The sequence below is a fragment of the Homo sapiens genome, chromosome 12 (genome assembly GCF_000001405.40).
Source record: "Homo sapiens chromosome 12, GRCh38.p14 Primary Assembly".
NCBI lineage: Eukaryota > Metazoa > Chordata > Mammalia > Primates > Hominidae > Homo > Homo sapiens.
The window spans coordinates 115,577,328-115,598,965 of NC_000012.12; the positions used below are offsets into that span (position 1 = coordinate 115,577,328).

At 45.0% G+C, this 21,638-nt stretch overlaps 2 long non-coding RNA genes and 1 pseudogene across 4 annotated transcripts in view; all 3 read right to left on the reverse strand.

Moving 5' to 3' along the window:
- LOC105370003 (uncharacterized) overlaps positions 1-21,638 on the reverse strand; it is a 389,555-nt gene that overhangs the window by 203,817 nt on the left and 164,100 nt on the right. The window lies entirely within an intron of this gene.
- Positions 4,217-21,638, reverse strand: part of LOC105370002 (uncharacterized) — a 59,593-nt gene continuing 42,171 nt past the window's right edge. Inside the window, exons 4-6 of one of the 2 annotated variants that reach the window (NR_188487.1) lie at positions 20,014-20,122; positions 5,515-5,638; positions 4,217-4,849 (exon numbers count right to left, since the gene is read on the reverse strand). This is a non-coding gene — a long non-coding RNA (uncharacterized LOC105370002). Of the gene's footprint in view, positions 4,850-5,514; positions 5,639-19,938; positions 20,123-21,638 lie in introns of both variants that reach the window. The other variant, NR_188486.1, reaches the window with a different exon arrangement.
- Positions 15,203-15,696, reverse strand: UBA52P7 (ubiquitin A-52 residue ribosomal protein fusion product 1 pseudogene 7; annotated as a pseudogene).

The window sequence follows — 21,638 nt, forward strand, 5'->3', positions numbered from 1 at the left end:
ACTGATACACAGCTTCCATTTGAACTAAACTTGCAGTTAAAAAGAGGGGTGGGGAGAGTTGTTCTAGCCCAGCTCTCTTTTGCTTTATAGATGAGAAGACTGAATGCAGAGAAGCTCAAGGTCAAAAGCAAGGTCAGCCTGTACTGAGTATGAGCACACACACATCCCATGTTCTATTTCTTGTGCTCAGTCTGCAAAGCTGGAACATGTTCCTAATTCCCACGCACTCTGGCTGAGTGCTCACATGGAATGCACGTGTGCCCATGAGCTCACGTTTACATCTGAGTGTAGGTGCCCTGGCACATACCACCCCCCCACACACACACAGTGGCCTCTGTAACATGCCCACACACTCAGCTTGCAGATAGACACCCTATCACGCTGCTCTGCACTGTGAAAAGCTACCCTGCCCACAGGCAACCGCTATAACGTACAGACAAGATGCCTCCTTCCTGTTCACTCAGCAAGCACACACAATCGATGGGATAGAATGCTGGCATGTGTCCTCCCCCAACAAAGCTTAGGGTGGTGCAAAGAGGCAGGGGCTGGTGATCGGGGCATCCAATTGGTAGCCCCACATCTGCCTCGGGTTTCTCAGGGCCCCCAGTCTTCCCATGTGTAAAATAAAAGGCGTCAGCCACCGCTTCACATTTTTTAGGTAAATTCATTTAAAGGTGAAATTCACAACATAGTTCTTACTGGAAAACCAGTATCACTTGTCAAAAAAGTAACTACAAAAAAAGCAGCAAGTCAAAAAAGTGACAAGACAATGCATAGAATGGGAGAAATTATTTGCAAATCATGCATCTGATGAGGGAATTGTATCAGAAGATATAGAGATCTCTTACAACTAACTCAATAATACAAAGGACAAAGACCCCAATTTAAAAAACGGGCAGGCCGGGCGCGATGGCTCAAGCCTGTAATCCCAGCACTTTGGGAGGCCGAGGCAGACAGATCATGAGGTCAGGAGATCGAGACCAAGCTGGCTAACACGGTGAAACCCCATCTCTACTAAAAATACAAAAAAAATTAGCCAGGCGTGGTGGCGGGCAACTGTAGTCCCAGTTACTTGGGAAGCTGAGGCAGGAGAATGGCGTGAACCTGGGAGGTGGAGCTTGCAGTGAGCCGAGATCGCACCACTGCACTCCAGCCTGGCAACAGAGTGAGACTCCGTCTCAAAAAAAAAAAAAAAAAAAAAAAAAAAGGCAAAGGACCTGAATAGATATCTTTCCGAAGAGATTATACAAATGGCCAATAATCACATGAAAAGATGCTCGGCCATTAGGAAAATGCGAACCAAAACCACAAGGGAAGAACATTTCATATCCATTAAGAGGGCTGTGATCAAAAAGACAAATAAAAAGTTTAGGGAGAATGTGGAAAAGTTGGAGACCTCCTCTACCACTGGTGAGAATGGAAAATGGTACAGCCACTATGGAAAACTGTCAGTTTCTCAAATGGTGATGACCCAGCAATTCCTCTCCTAGCATATACCCCAAGATAAATAAAAACATACATTCACACACCCAAATTAATTGTATACAAATGGTCATAGCAGCATTATTCATAATAGCAAAAAAAAAGTAGAAAGCCAAATGTCATTAGCTGAATAAACAGAACGTGGTTTATTCACGCAATGGGATATGATTTCACCATAAAATGGACTGAGGCATGGACACATGCCCCAACATGGATTAACCTTGAAAAAATGATGCTAAGTGAAAGAAGCCTTGTATTATTCCATTCATGTGAAATGTCCAGAATGGGAAACCTACAGACACAGAAGGAAAGTAGATAGTAGATTAGTGCTTGCCCAGGGTTGGAGGAGATGGGGGCAGTGGGGGTGATGGCAGAGAGGCATCGGATTTCTTTTAAGGATGGTGAAAATATTCTAAAATCAATTGTGGTGATAGATGTACAGCTCTGTGAATATACTAAAAACCACTGGATTATACACCTTATGCGGGTGAGTTGTATGCTATGTGAATTTCAATAAAGCTGTTAAAAATAAATGTAATGAAAGCAAGTGCATTATTAAATTCTAGCTGGATACAGTTGCCCACTTAAGGTGTTTCACCTGTGGCTGTTCTCATTTTATTAAAAAGAAAGATTAGCAGCAATGGGGAAAATGTTAAAGACATACTCCAAGATGGGGAAACTTTCTTTTTAGTCCAACCGGATAGATTGAAGGAAAGTTGAAAGGGGAAAATGTTAAAGACATACTCCAAGATGGGGAAACTTTCTTTTTAGTCCAACCGGATAGATTGAAGGAAAGTTGAAAAGAGGATAATCTCTACGTGATACAGAGTATTTAATTCTGGTCCTCAGCTCATCAAATCCTATCTCAGGTAACCCGGTAGTACCTGCCCCATCTTTAGAATCATTGAAGATAGCTGTAGCCTCTTACCTTGGATTTTCGCTCCTGCCCTTGTCCCCTTTCAGCCTGTTATTAGCAAGGCTGGCAGGGTGATTGTGTTAAATATTAAGAAGCAATAGTTAGATCACACCCCTTCTTTGCTCAAAACCCTCCCATGGCTCCCATCTCACTCAGAGTAAAAGCCAAATTCTTACGATGGCCACAGGGCCCCATATGCTCTGGTCACCGTGTCTCCCTAACTCTCTGACCTATACTTACCTTCTGTTCATCCTTCTGAGCCCATGGGCTTCCTCACTGCTCCTTAAACACACTCTCTACCTGACCACTCTGGGGCTTTGCAATGCCATTCCCTCTGCTCAGATGCTCTTCCCCCAGGCAACGTGCATGGCTCACTTTTTCACTTCCTTTGAGTGTCTGTTCCAATGTCAACTTAGCAGGGAGGCCATGTCTGACCACCCTATTCTCTACTCCATTTCCAGCCTCACGCAGTTTTACCCCCTTCCCTGCTTTACTTTTCTGCCTAGTCCATATCACGAGCATATTATTTATGCATCTGTTGATGACTTCTTTCCACCAGGATGTCAGCTCCATGAGGTTGGGGACCTTGCCTGTTGTATTCACTTCTATCTCCTAGAACAGCGGCTGGCACAGAGTATGTGTTTTAAACATATACATTCAATGAATGAGTGAAAGGCTGAGTGATTGGAAAATCGTAGACTAGGTGACACTTCAGTATCCCTCTAATCCTAATAGTCTATAATTTAATTCTTGATAATGGAATGTGATTCAACAATTAGAGCTAGGAGTCTGGACACCCATCCTGTAGGGTCCTGTGATTTTTTCCAAATCGCTCATATGGTCTTCCCTATGAAGACCATATTCCTTTCAATTCCCCAATAGGGGTGAACTCTTCCTGCCCAGACCTGCAGAAGATTGCTTAGATGACATTACATATGTTTTATTGAGCTCTCTGGGTGTCACATCCTCTGCACGCATCTCTCAAAGAAGACTAACAATATTAATAATAAAAAGCAACAGTAATACACCGTGATTGAGCACTGACCACATGCCAGGCTCCATTGCAAGCACTTGGCATAATTTATTTAATTCACACAACACCAAAGGATAGGTAGTAGTATTCTCCCCACTTCATGGATGAGGTGACTGAGGCACAGAGAGGGGGAAAGTAGTTCCCAAAGACACACAGTTGGTGGGAGGAGGAACCAGGATTTGAACTCTGGTTATCTGATTCCAGCGATCACATGTCTAACTTCTCATAACACTGGAAGGTGCTATTATTGCCCTAGGAGAAAACTGTAGCTAAAAAATAAATAACTGATTGGATATTTAAATCCAGGTCTTTCCAACTCAAATGGTTGCAAGGAGAAGGAAGAGGAGGTAGAGAAGAGGAACGCTGTTTCTAGTGCTTAATGTGTCCCAGACCCTATTGTAGAGGCTTCAGGTGCGTTGTTTTGTTTGAATTTCAGAGCAGGTCAATGCAGAGGAGAACACTGAGGCTCAGAGAAGTTCAGTAACTTGGCCAAGGTCACACTTCCCTATTTCCACTTTTGGACTAGTAGTCAAGCACTTATCCCCCAGAGCCTCCAAGAAAAGGCTGTTGGACCAAGATGCCCCAGTTGGACAAGGTCTTGGCCAAACATCCATCTCCAAAGGCCCGGGAGAAGAAGCTGGTGGGCAGAGCTGCCCCAATTCAATCCAGTTGAACTTCCATCTGCCTTTGCAAGGACTCAGGGCTCAAAGGCAAAACACTGGTAAGCTCCTGAAGCTGGGGCAAGGACAAAAGAGAGCTAATTAAGACTGAAAGCAAGACAAGGACCCCAAGCACTGCCTCCTTTTACTTTAGAGAGACCAGATAGTCTTACATTTCAGTCATTTATTTGCAGACATCTATAATGGCATCTTCAAGAGACCTGTGTGCACCTTGTCTGAGTTGAAGTACACACCCTGAAGAGGAGCCAGTTATGAAGGACCAAATGCACATATTAAAATTAAACATCACACGATTCTCAAAGTATTGGTTATTAATGCCCAGTGGTCTCACTTGCGCTGGGATCCACATTATTTCTGTGCACATTTGGAAGACACATTATCATGGCAAACTGCCAGGCTGAGATGAACTGTGGGTTCAACCAATCACCAAAGGGTTCATTCATTTATCCCTGAGACAATTTCCTCAGAGAGGAAAAGGCACTTGCCTAAGGTCACACTGCTGGTAAGTGGCAAAGCCGAGGTGTAAACTCAGGCAACCTGTCTCTAAGCACCTCACATAGGCGGTGCTTCAGTCTGTTTGTGTGCACTCAGACACTTTCAATGAAATTTTGGCATGAAAAGGTACAGCAATTGCGAGGTGAGCTAAAGGCGGTTATTTTCCCTCTGCTGAAACACGAAGATTCATTGCTGATTCTATGAGTTGGTCTTTGCTGCTCTTGGTAAGAATGACCTCTCAACCTGTGTAGGGAAGGTGGGCATCACTGAGTCACTGAGATGCTGGAAGATTCACTTTTTTAAGAGCATAAATGAAAGGCAGTTATTCAGATGATCAAAAACGCTTCACAAAAGGATTCTGTGCCGGTGTCTCTCAATAGCAAACTTCCTTCCTCTTGTCTTAGAAATTCATTCACTTATTCATTTAGCAAATGTTTATCAAGCCTCTAATGTATGTCTGGAACTCTTATAGGCACTTGTTCATAACTGTGAACAAGACAGATAAAATCCCTGCCCCCAAGAGGCTTATATCCTAATGAGGGAGACAGATAACGTGGTAGGCTGAGAACTAGTGCCCCGGAAGATATCCACTTTTGAATCCCTGGAACTTGTGAATGTTAAATATTTTTTACCATGTTTTACCCCACATGGTAAAATAGAAATAAAAATAAAAACATGTTTGCAAATGGGATGAAGTTATGGGTCTTGAATTAGGAATGATCCTAAACACATGAATTATAAGAGGGAGGCTGGCCAGGTGCAGGGGCTCATGCCTGTAATCCCAGTACTTTAGGAGGCCGAGGGGGGTGGATCCCTTAAGCCTGGGAGTTCGAGGCCAGCTTGGGCAACATGGTGAAACTCTGTCTCTATAGAAAATACAAAAATTAGCCAGGTGTGGTGGTACATACCTATAGTCCCAGCTACTTGGGAGGCTGAGGCAGGAGGATTACTTGAGCCCAGGAGGTTGAGGCTGCACAGTGAGCCATGATCATGCTGCTACACTCCAGCTTGGGAGACAGAGCAAGACCCTGTCTAAAAAAAAAAAAAAAAAAAAAAGGGAGGGGAAAGAAAAAAATAGGGAGGCAGAGGGAGATGTGACACACATTGAGGAGGATGTGCTGTGAAGATGGAGCAGAGAGAGATTACAAGCCACCACTGCCAAGATTGGAGTAACGCTAACACAAGCTGAGGATACCAGGTATGATTATCAATTCCATTTTACAGATGAAGAAACTGAGTCTCAGAGAGGAAAAGGAACTTGCCTAAAGTCACACTTTTGGCAAGTGGCAAAGCTGAGATGTAAACCCAAGCAGCCTGTCTCTAAGCACCACACACAGGTAGTATCTCAGTCTGTTTGTCCCTCGCCAATTAGAACCTTCCTCCAGGAGTTGAAAGAGACATGGAACTAATTCTCCCCTGGAGCCTCCCGAGGGAGTACGGCCCTGCCGACACCTTGACTTCAGCCCAGTGCTACCGATTTCAAACTTCCTACGCCCTGAACTAGGAGAGAATACATTCCTGTTGTTTTAAGCCACCAAGTTGTTCGTAATTTGTTACAGCAGCCATTAAGTGAACAAATATAGATCATTAAAAAAATCCGATGCATAAACAGTACCGTGCCAGGTGCTGTGCAAATGGGACTGAATGCTCAACGGGACTTTTCAGAGGCATTCCCTGCATCCAGTGGGGCTCTTCCGTAATGGAAAGTCCAATGACCAGGAAAGGCTTCACTTCCTGGCTCCACTTTCCTTCTGCTGAAACACAAAGATTCATCGCTGATTCTATGAGTTGGCCTTTGCTGCTCTTGGTGTGCTCCCTGTAAGCACAATCCCAAGGCCCGATGGAGCCTTCTCCCTGCATCCTGTTTAAGCCCAGCAACTTCCCTCGCCAATTAGAGGCTTCCCCTTCAGCCGGTCTGGCTTTCCCCACACCTGCCGAGGGAAGCACGTGTCGGCCATTAGCGTCTCTTCATGCCACCGCTTCATGTCACTTCATTGTTCCCCAGTTGGCAACAGCTCTGCAGAAATGACCCCATTTGGAAATGTTTGTGGGAGTCTGAGCAAAAGATCTACACAGCCCTCTTCTGGGGAAACACGAGGGTTATCAGAACTACCTTTTCTCAAATACCCATTTCATGCCAGAGCTCCATCTCCTCACTGCTCAAGATGTGGCCCGTGCACCCCCACATAAGCATCCGCTGGGGGCTGAGGACCACACCTCTCATTCCCTGCCCAGACCTGCCAATTCTGACGCTGCATTTTTAGTGTCTTTTGTTTGTTTGGTTTGAGACAGGGTCTCACTCTGTCACTCAGGCTGGAGTGCAGTGGTGCAATCATGGCTCATTGGAGCTTTAACCTCCCAGGCCCAAGCAATCTTCCCATGTCAGCCTCCTATGTAGCTAGGACCACAGGCAGGTGCCAACATGCCAGGCTATTTGAAGATGTATTTTAATAAGATTTCTGGGTGACTCATGTGCTAGTAAGAGTAGGAGCTTTCCCAAACTACCACTAGAGATAAGGCCAGAGACTGGGAGTCCTGGTTTCCATTATCAAAGTGGCTGATAGTCCTGATTTGCCTGGCTGTACGGAGCTCAAAGCAATATTCCTAAGGCCCAGGATATCTCAATTTTGCTTGTTTTCAGTGTCCTGGGTCACTGGGAGTCTTTGCTGTCCCCAGGATCCACTTCCCAATTTTCCAGTAACTTTCCTTACTTAGGGATCAAGTCAAGTCCACCCCTAATATGTGAGGTCTCAAGGTGTAGAGGCCATGAGGGTGCACCTTGCAGACCTCTAACTACAGGAGGTGAAGTTGACTGAGGACCCCAGCACTGAACTATGACATTCATCACTGTTTTGCTCAGGAGGGGCTGCATTTCCCGTGGCTGCCCCTAGCCAGTGACTGACAACAGCAGGGACACTAAGGCAGGTTTGTTCCTGATACACATGGGACTTTATGGATGGTGGACTTTGGCTTGAGGATCCACCTTCCTCCCCCCATGGCTTTGCTGAATCTCCTTAGGCTGCACCATGGTCTAGAACACTTCCACCCTGCCTTCCTTCCCTCTCTCCTTTACTCTGGGGGTCAGACCTGCATGGCTCACCCAGCCTTCTGCAGCTGGCTCCCGCTTTATTTCCTCCCATAGGTATTTCTCTTAATAAAATGCTTGCACATTTAGTCCTACCTTGGTATGGGATTCTTGGAGGACCCAGTTACATGCAGGGCAGGAGGACAAACTAAGTCCCACAAAGTCCCAAGGTTTCTCCCCACCTCTCCAAGCCCAAGGTGGGCAACCTCTGTTCATAAGATGCCCCTAGCATGCATCTCCCTTGACTCAGCCTTTATGTTCCTTGAAGGAAGCTGAGGCCAGGGGAACAGCTTTGAATTTAGATTTCTCAGGCTTCCAGAGTTTCCCGTGGGATGAAGTGTCAGGAAAGGAGCGCAGCTTCTTTCCACCCCAGTTTTCCATATCCCCAGGACTCAAGTGCACTCAAGAGGTCTCCTGGTTTCTACATCCAAACTGCACCCATATCCCACCACCCCCTTAACAACTGTCCCTCGTGTCTAGGACCAGAAGCCTCAGCATCTGCTGGGAGGACAGATGCAGGGAGGTCTATGCAGAGCCTGGAATAAGGCCTGGAACTAGTAAAGTATGGAATTCAGGGATTCCACTACCCAGAGCAAAGTCTTCCCTTAGGCCCCATGGACTTCCCATCCTGTGGGAAGGGACATAGCCCAAAGAGGCCAGAGTGGAGTCCCCCAAGACTAGGTCTAACAATTCATTGTATTCAGCTGTTCCCCACCCTTAGTCCCTGAAGCCAGCATGGGCCCCACCCCAGCTCCCGGGGCAGACATATCACCTAGATATTAGCCACAGTGAGTGGTTCTTGGATGGCCAGCTGACCTAATGAGCCTCACAAAACCTCTCAGTGAGAAAGCTAGGAGAGAAGCATGTGTTCCACGTGCTGACCTTGGGCTTGGGGAGATAGAGATTCCCAGAGCACTGCTGCCATCTTTCCCCCTTAGAAGATGGCCTGTAGCTCCCAGAGGCGGCTGTAGGGAGTCCAGGAATGAAGCCAATACAGCAGAAGGCAGAGCCAAGAGAGGGGGAAAAAGAAACAGAAGCAATTGCAGCCAGTACCAATCTGAACCCTCAGCTTCCTTCAGTTACACAGGTTCATCCACCACTCAAAACAGAATAAACCCAAAGACATATATATGGCCTCTACCTTGAACTCCAGTCTTATTAAGAACAAGAGTGAGCGGCTTCATGCAAACTCTGTTCTCACTCCTAAGAAACCCAAAAGCTCACCAAAGAAGAGATATATTTGCCAACTAAGCCCATGAAAAGATGCTCACCATTATTAATCATTAGGGAATTCGAATTAAAACCATAATGAAATAGCACTACTTATCCACCAGAAAGGATAAAATTTTAAACCAGAGAAAGAAAATGAAAGAAACTGGCAATATGGAATACTGGCAATGATGTGAAACAACTAGAACTTTCATACACTGAAAGTAAGAATGCAAAATGGTACAGCCCTTTGGAAACACAGTTTGGCAGTTTCTTTTGTAGCAAACATACTCTTACTAGGTTACCCAGTAATGCTATTCCAAGGTATTAACCCAAAAGAAATGAGACATACATCTACAAGAAGACTTATATGTCAATGTTCACAACAGCATCCTTCATAATCACCAAAAACCGAAAATAGCCTAAATGTCTCTCAATAGGTGAATAAATAGACCAAATATGGAACAACCATACTGATATGATTTGGATCTGTGTCCCCACCCAAATCTCATGTTCAAATGTAATCCCCAGTGTTGGAGGTGGAGCCTGATGGGAGATGATTGGATTGCGGGGGTGGATTTCCTCCTTGGTACTGTCATCAAGATAGTGAGTAAGTTCTTGAGAGATCTGGTTGTTTAAAGGCATATAGCACCTCTCCCCTTGCTCTCTTCCTCCTGTTCCGGCCATGTAAAGTGCTGGCTTACTCTTTGCCTTCTGCCATGATTGTAAGTTTCCTGAGGCCTCCCCAGAAGCCAAGCAGATACCACCATGCTTCATGTACAGCCTGTGGAACTGTGAACCAATTAGACTTATTTTCTTTATAAATTATCCAGTCTCAAGTATTTCTCTATGGCAATGCAAGAACTGACTACCACAGTGAAATATTACTTGGCAATCAAAAGGAGCAAACTACTGTATACACAACATGGGTGAATCTCAAAAGCACTATGCACAATGAAAAAGGTCAGACACAGGAAGCTACACATGGAATGAATCCCTTAAACGACATTCTGGACAAGTCAAAACTATAGGGACAGAAATCAGATCAGTGGCTGGCAGGGGTTGGGGTGGGGGAAGAAGAAAGAAGAAACCTTTCGGAGTGATTGAGGGGTTCTATAGCTTGGTTGTGGTGGTGGTTACATGCCCATAAATATTCGTGAGGAATCATTGAACTGTACATTGAAAAAGGGCATATTGTATTTCACTGAATGTAAATTATATGCCAACAAACATGACTTCATATATATATTGATATGTTTGGATATTTGTCCCCTCCAAATCTCATGTTGAAATATAATCCCCGACGTTGGAAGTGGGGCCTGATGGGAGGTGTTTGGATCATGGGGGTGGATCCTTCATGAATGGCCTAATGACATCTCTTTGGTGATGAGTGAGTTCACACAAGATCTGGTTGTTTAAAAGTGTATGCACCTCCCTCTCTTTCTTGCTTCCATGCTCAGTGTGTGACATGCTGGCTCCCTGTCACCTTCTACCATGATTGCAAGCTTCCTGAGGCCTTCACCAGAAGCTGAGCAGATGTTGCCGTCATGCTTCTCATTCAGCCTACAGAACCATGAGCCAATTAAACCTCCTCTCCTTGTAAATTACCCAGCCTCAGGTATTTCTTTATAGAAATGGAAGAACAGTCTAACACATACACCAAGTGAATACCAGTGCTTATCATGTGTTCCAAATCCTTTACCTGAATTAGCTCTTCTAACCCTCCTAACAACCCTACAAGGTGTGAGCTATTTTTATTACCATTTTACTGATGAGAAAACAAACATAGAGAGAAGGAGTTACCTGCTAAACATCACCCAGCTAGCAAGTGGTAGGCTTGGGACTCAAACCCAAAAAGTGTGATGCAGAGCCCATGCCCATCCCCACTGTACCACAGTTTGCAAATGGGGGCACGGAGGCCAAATCATTTGCTACATTCACCAACGAGGTCAGAGAAGGGAGAATGGGAGCAAATAGGGTTTAGAAAAAGAAAAACCTTGTTCCAGGCCCAAACATGCTGATTTTCCCACAGTTGCTGCTCCAATTCTTCTGGCTAATTCTTCAATGCCAGCCAACTCCCTCTGGACCCCTAACGCGAAAGCCCAGCAAGATTCTGCGAGAGAAAATGACTGCTTCCTAAAAGCACCCAGTGGATTTCCCTGACACATCTTGTCGGCACTCAGAATGCCCACGACAGCTTCTCCTGAAATATTTTCCAGGTGAGCTCTCTGACTGCCCCAGACTCTCAGACTTGCCTCTGATTACTCCTGTTCCCTCACGGCTGGAATCGCCTGTTGACAAGACCTCTCACTCCTTCCAAGCCCAGATCTGACCTTCCCCAATTTCTTAGATCAAATGCAGAAGCAGGTGCTTAAGGAGGGTGACTGGATGGTGTTAAAAGCTGATTTCTCCTCCTCTTAACATGCGAGTTGGAAGGTGGTGACCAGAGGGGAAACATTTAGAGGCAATGTTCCTCCAGGTGCCATTTCCACACAGTGGGCCTGGAGCAAAGGCTGCTCCAACAGCAGGAAGAAAACCCACTGGGGCTGCCCGCTGGGGCTCTGGGCCTGACACAGGGGCACATTGGATAGATATTGCCAGGTCTGGAACTTTGTAAGGGGTTGCAAACATCTGTGCTGCAATGTTCTTCCCAGCTCAACTAGAAAGATGTACCAGACTTTACACAAAGGCTCCCCCAGGAAGTAGTTGAAATGCAGTTTCCACAGACCCTTAAAAGTGGCAGAGTAAGAACATCTGCCAAAACAGGAAAAATGTTTAACAACTTGACAAGGAATTTTTAAAAATCTGCCCCAGGGTTTGTCTACTGTAAATCTGTTAAAGCAGGGTTTTAGCCCAGGGATAGGAAGGTGTTGGGAATCTTGGTTCTAATTCCATTTTGAACTTGCCTATTCTCAAACCTCTTTGTCATTCCTCTGTTCTACTTTCTTCTGTCTATCAGAGCAAACTGGTTGCCTGTTGAGGGCGACCTGTGACTGACTGGTTGTGACTGTTGTAGGTTAAGAGGGATTCTGAGTCATGTATGGACTCAGTGAGAAAGAGTGTTGTGATTGATTAGTGATGTCTGCCAGGACTGAGGCAATAGGGAATGATAACGGGCAAGCCACGTATTTCCCATCTCTATCATACACAAAAAGGAAATGGTAAAAGGAGGAAGACATCAGAAAAAAAGTATCAAAACTAAATGCAATTTAGTTTACTAAAAACCACCAGATACCTTTTAGAACCTGTTTCTGACAAGCATAGCCCCAGCTACTGACTCCAGTGCCACCCCAGAGAGTCCACTAAACACTCAACACCTGCAGAGCATGAAGCATGTGGTCTTCTTCTGAGAAGAACACAGTTCCTTCTGCATAATGATGTCATTATTGTATTCTGTGATCCCACTACCCTGGCCACAGTCGATTGGTTAAAACAGTTGGAAACTTTAGGCCACAGGCACCTGTTTGGGTAAATAAAGTTTTATTGGAACACAGCAACACTCATTGGTTTGTGTATTATCTATGGTTACTTTTGTGCTACAACAATGGAACTGAGTCACTGTGACAGAGACTGCATGGCCTGCAAAGCTGAAAATTTTTATTCTCTGGCCCTTTTCATTAAAGTTTGCTGACCCTTGGATTAAAGAGTTGCCATTCAATGTAAATGTAATTGAAAAGAGGGCTTCATAATAAAAGTCAGCCATCTATAAGTTATCTTGAGGATAGTCACTGTCATGCCATATTGGCTGATGACAAATTATTTCCGTCATCAGATTCTCTCTCTTTCCCTCTCTCTCTGAGGGAGATACAGGGTGAATCAAGGTTACTAGAACTACTGCTGGATCCAGAATGGAAGTGAAACACTGGTCTTGTTTCCCATGAGTCTTGCTCTATAGCCTAGTCTTGGAAACACTGTGTTATTCCCTATGCTTTCATACTTGCCTGCATTTTTATAAAATAAACTCTCATGACCTAAGGGTAGGAGAGTTAGGGGATTTCACTTCTCATGCCACTTCTGGTAGTGCCTGTCCAGTACAGTGTCTGCAAACATGAAGCCTGGACAGGAAAGAGTACCATGATGGATCAGTGATGTCTGCCATGGGTCATGGAAGGAGAGGAGAGATAGTAATGTGTGATGTGTATTTAACAGCTAGGACTTAAGTTAATCTTTGGTGCCTTCTCTTTGCAACGTAAGAGTCTATCTTCTATATCCACCTTATTACCACCTTCTCTCATCTTCCTTGGAAGTTAGATTTAAAATGTATCATTCTGTTTGTGAATATGCACCCTTGTGCCATTTTCTCCAGAGAGTTTCATATGTAATCTTTATTTCCTCAGTCAAACAACAAACATCTCCTCAAACATGCTTAATTTCTCTTATTTTAAAAGACTCCTGGCCAGGCATGGTGGCACACACCTGTAATCCCAGCACTTTGGGAGGCCAAAGTGGGCAGATCACCTGCGATAAGGAGTTTGAGGCCAGCCTGGCCAACATGGCAAAGACCCGTCACTACGAATAATACAAAAAATTAGTTGGGCCTGGTGGCACATGCCTGTAGTCCCAGCTACCTGGGAGGCTGAGGGAGGAGAAACACTTGAGCCCTGGAGGCAGAAGTTGCAGTGAGCCGAGATTGCGCCACTGCACTCCAGCCTCGGCAACTGAGCAAGATTCCATCTGAAAAAAAAAAAAAAAAGACTCCAGCAGCAGGTGCCAAGCTCAGCACATAATACTCATTTAATGAATCCATGACGCTTCTAATTTGGGGATTGAAGGTGCCAGCTTTCCTCTTTGAGCTCTGATTCTCCATTTATTCACATCAACTTTGAGGAAGACATACCGTCTAGTTCATCTAAAAGTTTCCCTTAACAACTCAATCCCCTTTATTCTTGTGCAGTGCCATGGATATCCTATGCCCCACAAGTCCAGCTGGCTTGGCTGGGATCCACCTGGCTGCAGAGTCACTGTGTGTCCGGGTGCAGTGACTATCCACGAGAAGTTGGACTTGCCCTTTGTTTCCAAGTTCTAATCCTGACCCCTGCCTGCTTCCTTCTTGGCTTCTCTCCACCTCTAAGCTTACCTCACTCTCCAAGGCCTCCTCCCACCCACTCTGTGACCTTTCTCTCTAAAATATGGCCTACAGAGTCTCTATATAACAAAGACTCATTTGGCTGGTGACAATCATTCCAAGCCTTCCCAGGACTTTCCAGCCTCCAGATCCGAAGAAGGTTATGTTAACTTAAACACCCACAGGTCTCTAACTCATGTCCCTTACCTGTGGAATTGCAGAATCATTTCCTACTCACCTGCCCTTACCTTCCCTAGTTACTGCTTAGATTGGCCAGGGGTAGCCCTCATTTAGTAAGTTTATTCATGATCTTCTTGGTGCATGCTTTGTTTTTTTTTGTTGTTGTTATTGTTGTTTTGTTTTGTTTTGTTTTGAGTCAGAGTCTTGCTCTGTCACCCAGGCTGGAGTGCAGGGCCATGATCTCAGCTCACTGCAACGTCCGCCTCCCGGGTTCAAGCGATTCTTGTACCTCAGCCCTGCAAGTAGCTGACACTACAGGCACCTGCCATCACACCTGGCTAATTTTCGTATTTTTTGTAGAGATGGGGTTTCACCATGTTGGCCATGCTGGTCTCAAACTCCTGACCTCAAGTGATTTGCCCACCTCAGCCTCCCAAAGTGCTAGGATTACAGGTGTGAGCCACTGCACCCAGCCATGGTGCATGCCTTTTGTCACCCAGGGCCCTAAAACAGAACTGCCTGGACCCTAGTCTTATACAAATCTCCATGACAAAAACTGCTTCTCATTTCCCCTTAACTCTCCTTCTACACAGAAGAAATGCAGTCGGCTCTCAGGAAGGCAGTCTAGAGCATGATTAAGAGGACGACGTTGCACTAGACAGGTGGATTTAAATTCAGATTTCCACTCTTTCCTGGCCACTCAGATGTTAACTAAACTCCCTATGCCTCAGTTTCCACATGTGTAAAGTGGAATATTGATACGGTAATCATTAACTTATAGAATTGTGTAGGTGTATTCATTCTCTAGGGTTATTGCAAGAAATGACCACACACTGGATAGCTTAAAATAATCGAAATCCATTCTCTCATTGTTCTGGAGGCCAGAAGTGGGAAACTGAAGTGTCCACAGTGCTCATTTCTTCTGAAGGCTGGCAGGGAGGATCTGTTCCCTGCTCCCATCTTACCTTCTGGTGGCTGACAGTGGTGACAGTAGTCCTTGGAACTCCTCGGTTTATAGACACATTACCCCAAACTTTGCCTCCATTTTCTTTTTTTTTTTCTGCTCCAGTCAATGAAAGGGACACTTTATTGATCCCCAGGGCCATGAGGCCCTGTGGGGAAGGAAGAGCCTTATTTGACCTTCTTCTTGGGGCACAGGTTGTTGGCGTGGCCGCATTTCTTCTTGCAGCAGTTGACAGCACGGGGGTGAGCACAGCACTGGCACAGATCATCTTGTCACAGTTGTATTTCTGGGCAAGCCAATGGAGGGAAGGCTTAATAATGCCACCTCACAGGCGCAGCACCAGGTGAAGGGTGGACTCTTTCTGGATGTTCTAGTCTGAGAGACTGTGGCCATCCTCCAGCTGTTTGCCCACAAATATCAGACACTGCTGGTCAGGCAGGATGCCCTCCTTGTCTTGGATTTTAGCTTTGACATTCTCAATGGTGTCACTGGGCTCCACCTCAAGAGTGATGGTCTTGCCCGTGAGGGTGTTCATAAAGATCTGCATCTCTGAGTCTGCAGCTCAGCCGCCTCACTGAAGAGAAAGAGCGCCTCCATTTTCACATCACCTTCCTCCACGTGTATCTCTCCTCTGCGTGCCTCTTACAAGGACTCTTGTCCCTTAGGGCCTACCCTGATAATCTAGTGTGTTCTCATCTTTGAGATTCTTAATTATATCTACAAGACCTTTCTTTCTTAAAAAATTTTATTTTTAATTTATTTTTTATTTCCATATTTTATTTTCCATAAAAAAAATTTCCATATTTTTTATTTCCAGTCCATTGGGAACAGGTGGTGTTTGGTTACATGAGTAGGTTCTTTAGTGGTGATTTGTGAGATTTTGGTGCACGCATCACCCGAGCAGAAAAACTAAACCCAATTTGTAGCCTTTTATCCCTCACCACCTTCCCACCCTTTCCCCTGAATCCCCACAGTCCATTGTGTCATTCTTATGCCTTTGCATCCTTGTAGCTTAGCTCCCACTTATCAGTGAGAATATGATTAGGTTACTCCAGGTTACTAAGAATGCCATTAAGTCATTCCTTTCTATGGTGGTATTCTATCATATATATGTAACAGTTTCTTTACCCACTCATTGACTGATGAGCATTAGAGCTGGTTCCACATTTTTACAATTGTGAATTGTGCTGCTATAAACATGTGTGTGCAAGTATCTTTTTCATATAATGACTTCTTTTCCTCTGAGTAGATACCCAGTAGTGGGATTGCTGGATCAAAGGGTAGTTCTATTTTTAGTTCTTTAAGGAATTGCCATACTGTTTTCCATAGCTCTTGTATTAGTTTACATTCCCGCCAGCAGTGTAGAAGTATTCCCTTTCCACTGCATCCACAGCAAAATCTATTAATTTTGATTTTTTGTGTATCTGCAAGACCCTTCTTACAAATAATGTCACATTCACAGATTGTAGATGTTACGATGTAGACATATCATTTTGGGGAGCACAGTTCAACCCACGACAGTAGGATTATAAGAGATGGTGCATACACTATGCTTAGCACCATGGCTGGCACATAGCAAATAGTTTTGTTCTTATCATTCTTTAAAGGGCCAGAGCTAGGCTCTAGATTTAAAAACAAGTATCTCTGATCTTCTCCATTTCCCATCTCTCTCTCTCTCTCTCTCTCTCTCTCTCTCTCTCTCTCCCCCCCTCTGTCTGCTTAGTTTGAAATCTGCCAGAAGTTGAGCATGAAACAAGGACTTGGATACAAGTAGTTTTATTGGTGGTGGGGGTAACATGGCGGGGGAGGGTCGGAGTGGGGAGGTCAAGGTGACCTCGGGACTCAGGTGCAAGGGAATGGACAGAGTGAGCCAAGGAAGAAGGAAAAGCCAATATGAGGCTATTTTTTTTTGTTTGTTTTTTGTTTTTTGACAGAGTCTCACCCCGTCACCAAGCTGGAGTGCAGTGGCACAATCTCAGCTCGCTGCCACCTCTGCCTCCCCGGTTCAAGCGATTCTCCTGTCTCAGCCTCCCAAGTAGCTGGGACTACAGGCATGCTCCACCACACCTAGCTAATTTTTGTATTTTTAGTAGAGATGGGGTTTCACCATGTTGGCCAGGATGGTCTCGATCTCTTGACCTCTTGATCCACCTGCCGCAGCCTCCCAAAGTGCTGGGATTACAGGTGTGAGCCACCACACCCGGCTGAGGCTACTTCGTATATGAAGCAGCTGTGTAGACAATGGGATATAAATACCGTCGGAAGCTGTGAGAAGTGTACGGAATACATCCCAGAAATGTCCCGTTGATGGATCAAGGTGAGGCATTTAGACCCTAACTCCACCTGCTACTGGTTGAGGGTCACCCCCAGTGACTCCTGCTCATGGCCTCGGCAGCTTCCTACAGCTTCACAGAGGCCATGGTGCGCACTTGGATAGCATACTGTCAATTTGAGTCTGAGCTTGCAGGAACCTCTGCCCGGCAGCTGCAGCTGCATTCAGAGGTGAGCAGGTATGATAAGGAACACCTTAAATCAGCTTAAGGGGGTATGATAAGGAACACCTTAAATCTCCTTAACTCCTCACTAGAAGCCAATGCATAGATATCTTCCATGATAGGCTTATTTTTTTCATGTTGTCACAGGTTGAATTGTGTCCCCTAAAAAGATACATTGAAGTCTTAACTCCCATACCAGTGCATGTGATTGTATTTGGAAATAGGGTCTTTGCAGATGGAGTCAAGTTAAGATGAGGTCCTCAGGGTGGCCCCTGCTCCAATATGATGGGGGTGCCTTAATAAGAGGAAGAGAAATGGCAGAGGCTGCCATGCACAGGGGAAAAATGTGAAGACACACAGGACAGGGTCCACATGATGATGGAGGCAGAGATTGGACTGATGCATCTACAAGCTAAGGAATGCCAAAGATTGCCAGCAACCAGGAGATGCTAAGAGAAAGACATGGAGCACATTCTCTCCTAGAGCCTTCAGAGAGAACACGGCCCCGCTAACACCTTGATTTGTAACTTCTAGCCTTCAGAACTGCAAGAGTATCCATTTCTCTTGTTTTAAGTCACCCAGTCTGTGGTGCTTGGCTATGGTAGTCCTAGGAAATGAATAAACATGCTCATTAATTCATTCTAGCAATGCCTGGATGTGTTTTATGGGATAGAAAGGGCTCGCAAGTTCATTACTTAAACCAATCTTTGAGCCTCATTTTGGCTCAAATAGAACCCCACTGACCATGGGAGGGTTCAGGGGGGATCTGGGTTGGAAACATGTGTCCTCTTCCAAATTGCTATGCAGCTCACCCACACCATCTGCCAGCATTCTTCACCCCCTCCCCTACTGCAGACCTGTTCCCGAGATAGCTCTGCTCCCAACATCCCTGAGAGTAATATCTTGACCAACTCAGGGACCACCTTATAAAAGACTCAAGACTTCACTTGCCAGGTACAATCGCATCCATTTGCACTTCTTTAAACTGCATGCTATTCAGCTTCCCTTCCATCATCACAGTGGACTCCACTTTGAATCCTCCCAGGCTAGAATTGTAGAGTGCATGGGCCCTTGGGATTATCAACGCTCATCCTTCCCACTTTACTCTTGGAGAAATATTATAACTTTACCACCTATCACCCTAGGCCTGAGTCCTGCTCCAGGGTGGAATAGGAGTTCTGGCTTTCTCCTCCCAAACCATCTGTTCATTCTGACCTTGGTCACATTCCCTTTTTTGCAGGGGAGTGGTGCTGGGAGCATAGCGTCTTCATGCCATCTCTTCTGCTTGTGCCTGGATTGTAGCCTTAAAGATTTTATCCAGAATGTAATGTAGGCAGGAAATTCCCACCAATACCAAGGGGCTAATGACAGCCATTGTGTTTCCTTATGAAAAGCAGGGGTCAGCACCTTTAGTTGGGGAATAAATTACGAATTTGTCTTCAGTGTGTTTCTCACAGTTTCTCCTACTGTGCTGGGTGTACTAAAGACAGATGACACCCTACCCCAAAGTCAGTGTAGAAATGCAGAGAAGCTTGAGAACATGAAATAGAAGATAAGAACAGAGAGAACGGGGGAGCAGAGGGAAGAAGAAGAGAAAAGAAATCTTCAGGAACACATAGAAAACTATCTGCTGGTTAAATTCCAGGCTTTGAAATGCAAAGAATGGCATGTTCCAGTAGCTTTTTATAGACCTATGCTCTACAACATTAGAAACAAGCACAGCGGACACATAATTTCATGGTTACATCCCGATTTGGTTATTTTTGCCAGTGCAGCTAAGGGATACCCTGATCAGTAAAATCCAGATAATTTCCAAAGCTGTTGCATCAAATCCTTTGGCTTAGTCCTTCCTGCAAAACACAGGATCACTCCCTGACATTGCCAGAAAACTGTTACTGCAGACTGGCATTTCACCTTCTTTAAATGATTCTGACCACTTTCCCCAAATACAGAGGTGTTTCCAAAGTAGGAAGAACAGATAAATGTGCCAGGCACAGCATGCCTGTAGTCCCAGCTACTCAAGAGGCTGAGGCAGGAGGATTGCTTGAGATCAGGAGTTTGAGACTAGCCTGAGCAACGTAGCAAGACCGCATCTCAAAAAAAAGTTATAAAAAATTATAAAACAATAGACTACACTCCATCTTCACCCACCTCCAAAACACACAAAGGAATTCTTGTTTTCATGGTGCATGCCTGGGTCATTTCTGCAGGTGATTCATTAAAACACCTGGTTTGGAGTCATAAATTGTACACCCGTTAAGTATACATATGTTAGTTACTGCTGTGTAACAAACTAACCCAGAACTTGGTGGCTCAAAGCAACAACCATCTTACTTGAGTCTAGTTGTCTAGTTGTCTAGAGACAAGTTGTCTAGTTCTACTGATGTGGGCTAGGTACAGCTGTCTTACTCATGCATCTGTGGTCAGCGGATAGGTTGGCTGGGGGCTGGCTGGTTTAGGATGTCCTCAGCTGGGATGACTCATACCTTTCCAGTAGAGGGTGTTGTCATGGTGGTGACTAGCAGAAAAAAAAAAAAAAAACGACAAAACAAAACACAGTTTCCAGTGTCTGAAGTGAGTTTGTTACCACCCCATTGTCCAAAACAGGTCACATGCTCAAGCCACAAACTGTGTAGGGCACTACCAAAGGTTATAGGCACAGGGAGACATCAAAATGAGATGCATGTCTCCAATCAATTTACTAGAGGGTAGAAACTGCACAGGTAGCTATTCAACAATAGTATGCTAGCTACATACAGAAAACAAAATGAAAAGTTTGGAAAATTATCTGATCATCCCCTTGATCAGTCATCAGAAAACATTTTAGTAAAGAGCTAGGTAGTAAAATTGCAGGCTTGCAGAACGTGCAGTCTCTGTCACAGCTACTCAAGTGTGCCACTGTAGCATGAAAGCAGCTATGGAATACATAAATGAATGAGTGTGGCTGTGTTCCAATAAAACTTTATTTGCAAAAACAGGGGGCTAGCCCATGATCTTGGTCATCATTCATGAAACTGACATTTGCTGGGGTCAGACTATGGGCCAGGCACTGTGGATGTGAAGATGAATAAAACATGTCCCAATGAGCTTTCAGCCTAATATGGAGACTGGCATACTGTAAGAGCTCAACAAATACGCAGTGAGTTAACATTAATGGGAAGATAGGTAATAAAGAAACACAATGGAAAGGAATGTTGCTGGGGCCATAGAAGTCTAGACAGGGTGCAAGGGATAGGAAGAAAGAGGCTTCCAGGAAGAGGTTACGTTTGAAGACTGTGTAGGCGTTCTCACAAGCATATCTAGGGTAGAGTTTGGAATTCCAGGCTGAGGGAACAGAGAGATTAGAGACCAGGTGATGAAAAAGAACTTGGCGAATATTTAAGCGGGGCTGGACCAAAGGGTGTTTCATTTAGCTTTCAATTTTTTTGGCTGGGTCTAGATTCTTTTAAGCCTAAATTATTCGAAGGTTCAAATTTCCGCAATCCTTGGGGAATACCCAGTACCTGAGGTATTATGACAGCATGTCTTTTCGCCCTACCAAATTTAAAGAAGCGATATGGCGCATAGAGAATGAACCAGATTAGGAATCAGAACTGGGCTCTAATTTCCCTCACTCCTCTCATTGCTCCCTGGATAACCATGACCATTTCACATGCCTCTTTATGCCTCAATTCCCCTAACTACAAAACGGGGGAAATAATGTCTCATAAGATCGCTGTAAGAATTCCAAGAAATATCTACGATGTGCTTAAACACACTGCCTGGTTGGGGATAAACACTCAGAAATGCTAGCTAGCTATCCTCATCTTCATTGTTATCATTGTTGATCATCATTGCCATCTTCATTTACTCTTCTCTCTACCCAATCCGTCCTTGAAACTCCCTACCCCAGACACTGAAGCCTCCAGAGATGAACCCAGAACTGGCTCCAGAAACAAGTCCCCCACCCCCTGCTGTTTGTTGGGTGGGGTGAGTCGGGGGACGCTGTCTGAGTCTCTGTTGTGTGCACAGCCAGCGAAGATGCCTAGAGCAGG